Source organism: Homo sapiens, chromosome X, assembly GCF_000001405.40.
Source record: "Homo sapiens chromosome X, GRCh38.p14 Primary Assembly".
Classification (NCBI taxonomy): Eukaryota; Metazoa; Chordata; class Mammalia; order Primates; family Hominidae; genus Homo; species Homo sapiens.
The window spans coordinates 10,131,774-10,146,088 of record NC_000023.11 but is presented as its reverse complement, the minus strand read 5'-3'; the positions used below and the strand labels follow the sequence as shown (position 1 = coordinate 10,146,088).

Below are 14,315 nucleotides of genomic sequence, written 5' to 3'. Positions count from 1 at the left end.
TATTTGTGTAGTCATGTGTATATGTGTAAATGCACACATGTATATATTTGTATGTACACACTTACATATTTATATACCTGCTTATATTTTAAAATAACAATGCAAGGAAAAACAGTAATCTCTTTTCAATGGTTACCTGTAAGGAGAGGGGAAAAAATAGGGTAGAGGCAAGAATAAAAATCTGACTCTGTGGGGCGTGGTGGCTCACGCCTGTAATCCCAGCACTTTGGGAGGCCAAGGCAGGCAGATCACTTGAGGTCAGGAGTTTGAGACCAGCCTGGCCAACATGGTAAAACTCTGTCTCTACCAAAAACACAAAAATTAGCTGAGCATGGTGGCACACACCTGTAATCCCATCTACTCCAGAGGCTGAGGCAGGAGAATCACTTGAACCCGGGAGGCGGAGGCTGCAGTGAGTTGAGACCGCGCCACTGCACTGCAGGCTAGACAACAGAGCAAGACTCCATCTCAAAAAAAAGCCAGACATAACTACAATGAGATACCACTTGGCATCCCCTAAGATAGCTATAAGCAAAAGGACATAACAAGTGTTGGCCAGGATGTGGAGCAACTGCCGGTAGGAATGGGAAATGGCACAGCTGCTTTGGAAACAGTCTGGCAAGTCCTCAAAGAGTTAAATATGGAGTTACCATGTAACCCAGTGATTCCACTTTTAGGTATTGACCTAAGAGAAATGAAAACATATATCCACAGAAAAGCTTAAATGTAAAAGTCCATAGCAGCATTATCCATAATGGCCAAAAAGTGGAAGCAAAGTGTCCATCAACTGATAAATGAAGAAAATGTGGCCTGTCCATGCAATGGAAGATGATTCAGCCATAAAAAAGAATGAAGTCTCAACACACACTACAACACGGATGAATCTTGAAAGCATTATGCTAAGTGAATGAACCCAGACACAAAGGCCACATGTTATGTCATTGATATGAAATGTTCAGAACGGGCAAATGTGTAGAGACAGAGAGGTCAGTGGTAGCTGGGGTCTCAGAGGATTGGGGAGCAACTGCTAATGAGTCTGAAGGCTTTTTTGGGGGGTGATGAAAACGTTCTAAAAATTGTGATATTTGCACGACTCTGAATATACTAAAACCACTGAATTATACATATTAAATGGGTGAATTGTATAGCATGTGAATTATGTATCAAGAAAAGCTATTACCAAAAAAGAAAAACACAGACAAAAAAAATCCCAATAAGTGAATCATGTTTAGATTCTGTTCAAAGAGTTAAAGAATGACACAAGATAAATGGGAGAGAAAACCTTGGCTATTTGGTAACAGTAAGGAATTATTAAATGCTAAGATGTGATAAGGTTATTATGTTTTTCTCTTTTAGCAATACATATTGAAATATTTAAAGATGAAATGATAAGCTATATGGGCTTTGCTTCAAATTCTAAGAGGAGGAGGTGGGCTGGAGGGTAAAGGAGAGGGCAGCCGTGAATGATCGTGTTGAAGCTGGGTGAGCGCTGCGTTCAGCTATTTTCTCTGATTTTATACCTCTGTTTTTATGCTTGAAAAACACACATTTTTATATATTTAAGCTTCCATAATTAAACATTCTTTTTCCATAAAGCCACACATTTCCACTCTGTTCTTAAGGCAGGTTAGTTTAATTTTATAGAAGAAATATTTTTCAAACAGTACAAATGACACAATTAGAGAGAAAAGAGTGACAAAAAACAAAGAGATGAATACTGATTATAACTTATTCCCACAACAGAAGGCTACTTATTTCTACAATTATCAATCAAAGCCTGACAATTCAGTGATTAGATGAAGTGAAAGCCAAATTCCCTTTTACATGTGGTACTATTTCAAAAGAACCCTGGTGGCAGGATCCTGATGGTTTTGAGACCAGAACTGCTTCTAAAACCTGGCAGCGTTTTTTTGTTTTGTTTTTATCGCGAGGCCTGGTAGATGGACAGATTGAAACATAGATGGAAACACCTAGGACTTCACTTTTCTGGCATGTGGGGTATTTTCTGGGGTTGGCGTGGCAGTCTGAACTAGTCAGAAGCTCCAAGACCACGTCATGAATGACAAGCAACATAGGGCGCTTGGTGTCCTTCTGCCTGCTCAGGCCACCTCCACTGCCTGCATCTGCACCTGCAGAGAACTGCGCGGCTCTCTGGCCTTCCTTTGTCTTTTCTTTCCTTGTCATGGCTGCATTGAGCTGCAAAAGCGGACACAGGCAGGGAGGCAGGGGGAGGTTCAAAGGTAAAGGTGGCAAACACGAGGGCTCCTTGGACTGATACGGAAGCAGGCACTGCATCTGTTTCTTGCAGGCTATCAGTGAGATTCTATTTTTAAAAAACCCAGCCAGGCATGGTGGCTCGCAAGTCCAAGATCAGCCTGGGCAACAGAGCAAGACCTTGACTCTAAGAAAAAAATCAAAATAGGCTAGGCACAATGGCTCATGCCTATCATCTCAGAACTTTGGGAGGCTGAGGCAGGAGGGTCACTTGAGCCCAGGAGGTTGAGGCTGCAGTGAGCTATGACCACGTCACTGCACTCCAGCCTGGGCAACAAAGCAAGACCCTGTCTCAAAAACAAAACAAAACAAAAAAACCCCTTTGGGTGTCAGGGTGGATGGGAAGTACTTCAAATGGAAATCTGTGCAGGCTGGGCAGTGAAATTTATTTGAAAACATTTGTCTAGGGCTTCCTGCACTGACACAGTGGGTTTCCCCACATTACTACTTAATAGGGCTTGGCAGAAAAGTAGCCTCAATCCCTCCCATTTAGAGAGATCCTTGTGGGGCACAGGCTGGGTGTCCTGGGGCCGGGGTGGAAATGAGCTGCCTCCCTGAACAGCCTAGGGTCCGGCAGTGTGGATGGTTGTTTGTTGCCCTTCAAAGTTTCAACAGCTGGGGCCTGGAGACGGGGCCTGCCCAGCAGCGCTGGGAAGGACCCAGGGTGCTCCGTGTCTCCCCACCTCTGTTGTGGGCACATATAAAAAGGAATTGGCCAAAAAGAAAAAAAAAAGGCAAAACATGGCAAGGCTAGAGGCAGAAATACATAGCAAGAGACAAGAAGTGTGAAAAGCATCAGGATTTCAGTCTTACCACCACTGACGAATTCCATTGTCTGTGATAGGTCGCGTGTCAATGAAATGCTTTTACAAAATCCACTTTTAATAAATGTAAAAAGGAAAGCAGGTTATACAAGGGGGGAAGCTACAGACTGATGAGAAGAGAGAGGCCTGATTCAAAGGGATACCTCCAAGGGAAGGGAAGAAAGGTCCAGGAGGAAGAGTTCTGAGTTCTGGTTCCTCTGACATTTCCTGTGGCCCACCCCATTGATTCAAATCGAGGCCTCATCGAGAAGAGTGCATTTCATCTACAATAAATATGTATTAGGCAAAATATTTATATCATTTGGCATTTCAAAGAATAATGGCATATTTTTATTACATTAAAAAATGTTTTTCCTCACAAGCTGGTTCTAAGATTTCTTGAGGAATAGTGGGACGACTCCAGTACAGGGAGCCTCCTGACTCAAACCTGATCCTCTCCTCTGGACGACTCGCTGGGTAGTTCTAGTTACCCGTATGTCCTTCCCTCCCCCAAACAAGCACTTTCAAAGGTGATGGTGTGTATGTCCTAACTGCTGTATTCACCCACGGAGTCAACGAGCGTGGGCATTCCTACTTCCTCGTTCCCTTTCACTTTCCTTCATGACACAGTGGCGTGGCAGGAGTTCCTCCGCCACCCTCCTGGTCTGTTACAGTCGGACAGGGCGGGGTGGGGGGAGGCGGGCAGCATGGACAGCCACCACGGACAGTCAGGCTGAAGCCCCACAGACAGCCACCACAAGCAAGCAGGCTGAAGCCCCGTACACCAGAGGCCCTGGCGCCTGCTTCAGACTCACGCTGAGCACAGAAAGATGCTTCCAAAGGCAACACAGAAATGAGCGGTTGGCGTGCGGCCCACGCCAGAGACTGACCTCTGCAACACACACATGCTTCCGAGTCACGATTGAACCACTGCAGGGGACATTTTAACATGACATCAAGGGAGTGAATGTGTACAATATACATGGTAAATGCACATATGATACGGTGACAAATTTAGCACATAGCGTTCGCATTTCAGGTGTCAAAAACCAAACCAGCCCCAAGTTCCGTTCTACTGCATGAAAAGTACTAAAGAACAAAATTTCAGTCTTAAAATACATCTTAAAGTCAGTATTTTCCTTCAAGGAAAAAAAAGTACTATAAATAAATTACAATACAGTGAATTTGCCTGAACTCACTTCGTTTCTGTCTTCCAGCCTTTAAGTCAAATAAAACAGCATAAAAACTGTACATTCTTAACATGATAGTTGATCTTTTATAAAATAACCTGTCTTCAGAGATGTCGATTTCACAACAAGGAAAAACCAAGCCCTGTTGCCGTCACTATTATAAAATATATATGTATAGATATACGTGTTTTTTTTTTTTTTTTACAAAATGTGTATATTAATAGCTTTGCACAAATATTTTAAAGACAAATTCAGCTAGTCTAAGAACTTCATGAAAATAAAACAGGTGGATAAATACTTCATGTGCACAATGCACTCCATCAGACGTCGTCGGCTGGGAGAGGAGGTATGTTGATCCTTGGCCTTGTGAAGAATGCTATCTTCTCCCTGGGACCGGAGACAATTACAGGTCAGAAGCTGATATGAAGACACGGAAAGCTGGTGGCTCTCATATCAATCATGGCTTTTCTTATTCATACAACAAACTGAATTTAAGTCCCCAACAACACATGTGCTTGTATAGAGTCTCCAAATGTTAATTATGAAGAACCGTAAGAGCAGGGGTTTCTTCATCTCCAGTACCTAGAACAGTGCCTGGTGTATATTAGGTGCTCAGGAAATACCTGTCGTATTAACAAATGAATGAAAAAGTGAAAACTATGTGAATATTAAATGTATACAAAAATTAGGGCTAAAAGACACATTTTATTCGCCCTTAACAAGGAAGGACACACTGGCACATAGGCTACATGGATGAACCTCGAAAACCCTCAGCTGCAGGAAAGAAGCCAGATGCAAAAGTCCACGTAAGATATGATCCCATTCCTATGAAACAGGCAGAAAGGCATATCCCTAGAGACAGAGCTAGGGGAGGGAGAACGGGGAGTGACTGCTTAATGGGCATAGGGTTTACTTTTGGGGTGGTAAAAATGTTCTGGAACTAGACAGAGGGGTGGTTGTGCAACATTGTGAATGCGCCAAAGGCTGAACTGTTCACTTTAAAATGGGTCATTTTATGTTATGTGAATTTCAACTTAATTTTTTTTACAGACACAAAAGAATACTGATGCATCTGTAAAAATCCCCTCAGCAAAAACAAAAACAGACAAAACCAATCTATACTATTAGAATTCAAGGTGGTGGTTACTCTAGTGTGGGATCTGGGGGCACTGATAATGACCGATTCTTAGGACGAGTTTGTAACAATTCACTGGACCATGTGTGTATGATACGCAGCTTTCCTGCAGATACATTTTGCCTTAATCAAAAGTTAACTGAAAAAGCAAAGGTGGTCGGGTGCAGCGACTCATGCCTGTAATCCCAGAACTTTGGGCAGCTGAGGCAGGTGGATCGCTTGAGCTCAGGAGTTCGAGATCAGCCTGGGCAACACAGTGAGACCCCATCTCTACAAAAATGAGCAGGGCATGGTGGCATGTGCCTACAGTCCCAGCTACCTGGGAGGGTGAGGTGGGAGGATCACTTGACCCTGGGAGGTCAAGGCTGTAATGAGCCATGACTGAGCCACCACACTCCAGCCTGGCTGACAGAGTGAGACCCTGTCTGGGGGTGGGGGGACATATATGTATGTGTATGTATATCACTGTTATTTACAATAGCAAACATTTGAAGACGAGCAGCATGTTATAAAATATAGTGGTTGAGTAAACTATTAGATGAGACATTACAGTCAAACAAGATAGCACATTATATAGCAATATGGAATATTTTAATTTAAAAAATGCTAAATGCCAAACTGAACCCGCATTATGATTAGAAGTGGCATGAAAAAAAAACTGTAGGAAAAAAAGATCAGGATAAAAACATGAAAATACACTACTGGCTGCAGTGGATTCCTGTTTTGTTCTCAACTTCCCAGGGGTTTTACAGACTCACACGGCCAGACGCAGGGGCTCACGCCTGTAATCTCAGCACTTTGGGAGGCTGAGGCAGGTGGATCATTTGAGGTCAGGAGTTTGAGATCAGCCTGGGCAACATGGCAAAACCCAGTCTACTAACATTTAAAAATTAGCCGGGTATAGTAGTGCGCATCTGTAATCCCAGCTACTCGGGAGGTTGAGGCATGAGACTTGCTTGAGCCCAGGGGGCAGAGGGTGCAGTGAGACAAGATCGCACCACTGCACTCCAGCCTGGGTGACAGAGTGAGACTCTGTCTCAGAAGAAAAACAAAAACAGACTCACTGTACTTTTTTACCATGCCAAAGGCACGACAGTAAGGAGGAAGCAGGGCCGAGGGGCCGGCCTTGCCACGCCTCCGCCATACCTAAAGGTCTGCACTTGGATGGGCTCTTTGTGGCTCTGCCCACGCAGCTGGTAGATCTCCTTGGAGGCCTTCTTCAGCATCTTCTCAGCCGCCTGCTCATGACGGTAGTCAAGTTTGGTCTGTCTTGTCTGGAACAGCAACGTTGGACCAACAAGACGATTTTATTGATTTTTTTTTTTTTTTTTTTTTTTAAGGAAGAATGAGTAAGTTCACTGCCAACCCTGGAGCCCAGAAGAACCAACCACAGTCAGCGAGTGGTGACAGGAGGGAGTAAGGCCCACCTCACCCACACTCCCCCCAAGGAATTCCTCCCAGGAGACAGAGGCCAGGGGGTGGCTGGAGTCAGGCCTAGCGACTGGGGACCCAGAATGTTCCCCCAACAAGGTGGGGAGGGCCCGTGACCCCTCCTCCAGCACCCGCAGCCTCCAGATGCACGCAGAAGCCACACAGACGCCACCCTCGCAGCCCACAGAGGGAGAAGGGACTCCAAGAGCCCAGTGGTGGGGTATTTCAGGGACCACCTCTGTGTCTGGGAGGCTCCCTTCAGAGCCTGGAGCAGGGAGCAGTGAGGTGCAGGCGGGAGCTGGCCACAGGGGACCCCCACCTGCCGCTCGGCCTCCCGCAGCAGGCCACGGAGCCGCTCGTCCCGAAGCACCCAGGGTGGGAGGTCAGTCTGGCCACGGAGCTGGGCGTCCTCCAACCGCTGCCGCAGCTCACGGAGGGCGCAGAGCTCCTCATTCAGCTGCCTCTGCCGTGTTCTCGACGCCTGGAGATCCAGCTCCAAGTCCAGGGAGGTGCGGGCCATGAGCTCAGCCAGGGAAGACCTGCATGACTGCAAGAGACGCCAGCTGTGAGCCCTCACTCAGGCCTTCTAGAAGGTTCTTCCACAATTAATAGGAGACAGGTCAGGCACACGTATTTCTCTAAGCACGCCCAAGGTTAAAAAACACAGATGTGGGCAAGAGGAATGTAAATCTCTAGTTCAGTATCAAGGTTAGTAACAGCAAATTGTTTTTCTTTAATGATGACCTATGTATTGGCAGAAATGTGCAGCAACAGATGCTCTTATATGGGGCTGGCAGGATCAAAAATGGAACAATCTTTCTGAAGGGCCATTTGAGAATATATATATGTCTACAGCAAACTTGCATCTGAAAGGCATAACTGCTGACATGCAAAAGTGGTCCAATTAAGGTTTATGACAGAAAAAAAAAAGTAAGTCTATAACAGCAGGAAACGTTAAATAAATTACAAGGCCAGTATAAAATGTAGCCATTGTAACAAGTTGAAAAAAATATATGGACATGGAAAAATCTTAATGATCCACTGTACAAGGGGAAAGAAAGTACGTTATAAACCATGAGTGCTTGTTGTTTAAAAAATAGTATACACACTCCCACGCAAACACGCAGACACACACATGCAAGCTGTCCAAAGCTTCCCTCCCCATATAAGCCTCAAGTAAGCAAACATACCTAGGCTCAGGAAAGCCCTGACAGGGAAAAGACTCTTGTCTGCGGAACTGAGAGCAGTACTTCCCATCCAATGGGAAACAGAACCCTGAGACAGCAGTCACCGCAGCAAAACCACAAATCCATTCGCCAATCACCATGGGTCAGTGGCCTGAGTCACGGTATGCTTTTTACACACACAACGCTATTTTGCACATACACAGAATTTAAATGCAAATATGGGTTGTAACTTAACAAATATAAATTCTTTAAAAGCACTGCTGAATTCTCAGCAGAGCTTCATGGTTCTCAACCAGGAGAATCTGGCCCCCGGGAGGACAGCTGGCAATGTCTGTGGACATTTTGAGTGTCACAACTGCTGTGTATGTGATGGGGTGTTACTGGCATCTGGTGGGTGGAGCCCAGGGACACTGCTCAACATCCTAAAGTGCACGGGGCAGCCCCCACAGCAAAGAATGAGCCTGTCTGAAATGCCAGCAGTGGTGCTGCTGAGAGACACTTCTGAAGCCAAATTATGCACTTTTTTTTTTTTTTTTTGAGACGGAGTCTTGCTCTGTCTCCCAGGCTGGAGTGCAGTGGCATGACGTAAGCTCACTGCAACCTCTGCCTCCCGGGTTCATGCAATTCTCCTGCCTCAGCCTTCTGAGTAGCTGAGATTACAGGCACGTGCTGCCATGTCTGGCTAATTTTCATAATTTTAGTAGAGACGGGGTTTCACCATTTTGGACAGGCTGGTCTCGAACTCCTGACCTCAGGTGATCCGCCCGCCTCAGCCTCCCAAAGTGTTGGGATTATAGGCGTGAGCCACTGCACCCGGCCCAAATTATAAACTTTCTTATTCTTCCCAGTCAGCAGCCACTCTTGTATGTGGTGGAGCACAACTGCCACGTGGAAATTGGGGGTTTTTTGTGTGTCTGTCTCTCTTCCTCTCTACACACACACACACACACACACACACTATATATATATATATATATATATATATATATATATATATATATATATATATATATTATTCAAACGATCCCTGCCCAGAAAAGCAACATGTTGAAAAACTCAACTTTTCTAAACTATATATACTCTCCTGTCAAAAAAAGAGAAAACAGCCTATTATATAAAAATGGTTATTTATTATACTGAAGAATGTAAAGATCACAGATTATCTGAAATCATGATACTATCTTAAGAAATATTAGCAACATTACGACATTACATCTGTTAAGTAAACAAGAAATAGAAATACTACCTTTTCATTTACATGACCTTAAATGTTACCTTTTTAAGGCTTGTAAAATCACTCGCAGGGCAAGCACAGATTCCATATTTGTTTACAGGGCACATACCTGCTTATAGCGAAGGGTTCGTCTTTCCAAAGTATTTCGGACAAAGGGGGACTTCCGGGGCAGCGTTGAACTGTCGCTGTCACTACGATAAAGCTGCACAAAAAAGAATGATGTTCAGAAACAATTTCTCAGCAATGCACAGTTCATTGTGTGTGTGTAGTCAGAGTCTCAGAATGGATTCTTTTCATCCTCTTCACAGGCCCTCGAGTGCACTTATGATTATTGGTGCTTGTAGCAGGTCTTTGGGTTTCAATTTAAAGAAGAGTTTCTGCTAAAATGAAAAAAACAAAACAAAACAAAACAAAAACAAAGCAAACGAAACCCTCCCCCAGTTTCCAGGCTAACTGAGCCAACAAAATCTCTGTGTGATCGATACCAATGCCATTTTGTGCCCTGTACAGCCCCCATGAAGGCTAGCGCTGCCCTCAGCACGGTTCACTTTTCCTCAGTCTTTCTCATGTGCTGTATTTGTGGCTTTGGCAATAGCTGGGGAAAGTGACTTCCAAAAAAGAGACTCACTTCTGGTAGTAGGACAAGCCAACATTGCCAACTGCAGCTGTGCCCATCAAAGGACAGGGCGTGCTTTTAAACAGGAAGTAAAGAATGTCATCTTTATGGGAGCCAAGTCATTACAGCCTTCATTTTGGTGGCAGGGTCTCACCTCAGGATCAGTGTCAATCTGTGTGAAATCCAACATCCCTGCCTTCGTGGCCTTATTTTCCACGCCAGTAAACCTATTCAGGAAGTGCAGCGGCCTGGCAGCATACCTGCACGGCGTTCATACAAACATACAGAACAGCGAAGCATCCAGAAGCATCGCCAGTAAGTGCAGCTGTTACGCAGGCACACAGAGCATTTCCTCTGAGTAAGCAAAACACTACCTGCTTGCACCCTCCCCGCCTCAATAAGCAGCCCCGCCAGCCGACACGTTGGTGGCTCGGCAGGAGCCTGGAACAAGGAGGGCGGTGAACGTGGCCTTCCATCTAGAGCGTCCAGCCAAGCGCTTGAGCATCAGCCTCCACGGGGCTGAAGTGTGACGGGTGGGAGGGCCTGTACCGGACGCGGCGCCACCTGGGGCAGCTGCCAGCAGGGACACTTCAGACCAATGGGACAACAGCAGCGGGTCTCACCAACATGGCTGAGAGGCTGTTTTGGCCACCTAGGCCCCCTCCCACAGTGTTTGCCACATCTCCTTTGAGGGTCTGAGGCCCTTCCCTCTCCGAAGATCTGCCTTGGCTCTGCCCTCATGGAGCGAGCACCTCCAGGGCAGATGCCTTCTTCAACAGCCCCAATTCAGAGGTGCAGGAAGGGTCATGGTTCTCAACCAAATGGCCCCTCCAGGTCACTGTGTCATGAGCCATCATCCTTAAAAGCCCTTTCTGTACAAGTCCATGCTGGCACTATCACTCTGTCCTACCTTCATTGACCACACTGGCTCGCATCTTCCCTCTACCCACCTTGGGGTTCTCAGCCTTGTGTGACATGCTAGAACCATCTGGGTGCTTCCGGAAGTTCTGACGCCCAGGCCTTACCTGTGACCAATGGCAAATCTCTGGGGTGCTATGTGGGTACCAGGATCTGTTGAATCCCCCGACATGATTTGACTGCAAGGCACAGCCATGGCTGAGAACCGCTGAGCGCCTCCCACTCATCCACAGGTTGGGAAGTTACATGTGGGTGAGTGAGAACCCACTGCCCCTTTGCCAGGACCATCCACCCTCTGGCCCAGAAACCTGGCTGCCCCACAGGGCTCCAAGCCACTCAGGTTCCCGGCTCCTCCAGCTCAACCCATTCAAGAGGGCCCCTGCTTCCACTTGTTCCTTAGGCTGAGGTAGAAATGATTCGCCCTGCTTCCTGCCCCACAGGTCAATACATACACAACACTGAAAACTGGGGGAAGGGATGAATTTGAATCCTGAACAAATCCAGAATCAGATAAGCATGGTAGGACATGCGGGGAGATCACAACACCAATGTCATCACCGCATACCTATAAAGTTCATAGTTCATGGATTGGTATTATTGGTGCAAATACATATGCCTTTCAGTATGAACAGCAGAAAAAAAAAATCACAAAGGGGATGGAAGACAAAACATTCCAGACAGGTGACAAAGGGATTCCAACTTACTCTGCAAACATACTGGCTTCGTGCTCCAGGCGAGAATGTCTGGGAACGGACAATCGTGCCACTCCGAACAAAAGGCGACCCTCGGGCCCGGCGGCTGGGCCGCTCCTTCACGAGGCTGGCTGCTTCTTCCAGAAAGAGATCTTCCGTGTTGGTTTCCTTATCAACCTAGGGAGTGGTTCACTCATGACTATGGCTTCTTTCATAATGTGAGCAATAAACTTATGGGAACAACCATGTCTTTCACTTCTCCACTTGGGGTTTAGCTGGCGTTTCACATGTGGCACGTCCACAATGGAAAAGCTGATATCTCCCCAACCCCACCCTGGCCCCTCCTCTCACAGGGATCTCAACTTTCCATTTGTTCATGCAAAGAACGTTAGGGCCATCCCGGACTTCCGATCTCTTTTGCACACCCCATATCTGGTCCAAGAGCGATCCCTGCTGGCTCTGTGTTCAAGATCAAGGGGGTTTTGAGCACTTGTCAGCAACCTTTCACCTGAGTCGCCATTATCTCATGCCTGGATGAGTGCAGTAGGTGCCTCACCAGTCTTCCCAATTCCACACCTCTCTGCCCTTCGATCTATTCTCAACACAGCAACCAGGGACATCCCAGGAAAACTGGCCAAATGTGGAAACACCCCAAATGTCCATTGACAGATCAATGGATCAACAAGATGTGGTCTTATCCACACAAGGGAATAGCATTCAGCCATAAAAACCAACGGAGTGTTTATACACGCTAAAATGTAAATAAACCTTGAAAATATCGTGCTGAGTGAAAGAAGCCATGCGGCAAAGGCCACATAGTATATGATTCCACTTCTGGAAACATCCGGAAGAGGTAAATCCACACAGCTAGAAAGATTTTGGTGGCTGCAGGTGGCTAGGGGGAGGGGAATGGGAGTGACTGCTCAATGGGGACGGGTTTTACTCTGGGGTGATTGAAACGTCATGAAACTAGATAGAGGTGGCGGGTGAGCAACACTGTGGACCAAATGCCACTGATGCATACACTTTAAAATGCTTCCCTTTATGTGAACTTCAACTCAATAAATTTTAGAAAGCACTAACAAAAAAGCTACGGTCAGATCATGTTGCCACTGGGCTCAAAACCCACCAGCTTCTCATGCCCTCAGAGAAAAGGAAGGGTCCTGAGTGGGCCCCACAACACACTCCCTTCGTCCTCAGCACCGCCCCACAACACACACTGGCTGCTCCCACACCTGCCCATGCTTCTGCACAAAGCTCTGAGCTCCCTTCCTTGACGATCTCTACTCAAACACTGCCTTCTCAGTGAGGCCCTTCAGGGCCCTGTTTTTTAAAATATTGTGGGAAAAAAACACGCAACAAAAGTTACCATATTAACCATTTGTACAGGCACAGTTCAGTGGCGTCCATTCACACTGATGGGCAACAGATCTCCAGAACTTCTTTACCTTGTAAATCTGAGACTCTGTCCTCTCCACTAAACAACTCCCCATTCCCACTCCTGAGATAGAGCAGAGACCCCATTTTAGGGGCCTGCAGACCTCCCGAGCATGGAAATAAAGGAAAATCAATTTCTTTCAAGGGAAATTCCAGGTACCTCGCTATCCCTGAGATGTAAGTAAGTAACCTGATAAGCAAGAAGGTAATAGTAGCCTAAAACAATAGCCAAGGAAGTTAGAGTCTGGAGATGTTTGGTTGCCTAGAGAAACTAAAGACATCTTGGTCAGGTGCGGTGGCTCACGCCCGTAATCCCAGCACTTTGGGAGGCCAAGGCAGGTGGATCATTTGAGGCCAGGAGTTGGAGACCAGCCTGGCCAACGTGATGAAACCCCGTCTCTACTTAAAAAAAAAAAAAAAAATTCATCTGGGCATGGTGGTGGGCGCCTGTAATCCCAGCTACTTGGGAGGCTGAGCCATGAGAATTGCTTGAACCCAAGAGGCAGAGGTTGCAGTGAGCTGAGATCACGCCACTGCACTGCGGCCTGGGTGACAGAGCGAGACTCCATCTCAAAAAAAAAAAGAAAAGAAAAAAAGAAACCAAAGACATCTTAACATATGTCCCCGACTGTCTTTCAGAAACCCAGACCCCCACCAAAGGGACCCGCTGGCACAGATCTCAGATAAGGGGGAGCTGAGGACTGCACTCTGACCCTTGCTCTTTATTCTGAATCTCTTCCTGAGGGGTCTGGAGGGAGTCACACCTACAAGTCAGAGCTAACTATCTTTTCTGCTGACCCCAAATTTTTAGACAAAGCTTTGCCTCCTGAACCAACTGCAATCAGAAAATCTTTGAATCCATCTACGTCCTGTAAGCCCCCACATTAAGATATCCTATCCTTCTAGGCCAAAAGCAACGTGTAACCTCCATGGATTGGTTTAGGATTTTGCCTGTGACTGCCGCTTTCCTGAAATTTACCTCTGCCTTTAAAAACCCTTCCCTGCAAGGCATGGGGAGGCTGAGTCTTAAATGTGAGCTGCCCAAATCTCCTTGCTTGGCACCTGCAAATAAATGCCCTCTTTCCACCAGTGCAAAACACCTTCGTGCAGACACCTGGTTTTACTGCACCGGGCGAATGGACCCCAGTTCCGTTCTGTAACACATCCCCGCACCCCATCCAAGCTCCTGGCAGCCACCATTCTATTTTCTGCCCCTGTGAATTCGACTACTCCAGGAACCTCACGACGGTATTTGTCTTTTTGTGCTTTTCTATTCTCTTAGCCAGCCACCAGTAACTCATTAGCATATAAAAAGATTTTTTTCAGGCTGAGGCAGGAGAATGGCATGAACCCGGGAGGCGGAGCTTGCAGTGAGCCGAGATCGCGCCACTGCACTCC

The 14,315-nt window shown here is 46.4% G+C and overlaps 1 protein-coding gene across 1 annotated transcript in view; it reads right to left on the bottom strand.

The window, feature by feature from the left end:
- WWC3 (WWC family member 3) overlaps positions 1,615–14,315 on the bottom strand; it is a 129,221-nt gene continuing 116,520 nt past the window's right edge. Inside the window, 5 exon segments of the mRNA NM_015691.5 lie at positions 1,615–4,654; positions 6,549–6,676; positions 7,153–7,380; positions 9,364–9,456; positions 11,493–11,657. Of these exon segments, the coding sequence (NP_056506.3) occupies positions 4,588–4,654; positions 6,549–6,676; positions 7,153–7,380; positions 9,364–9,456; positions 11,493–11,657 (681 nt within the window). The 3' untranslated portion in view covers positions 1,615–4,587.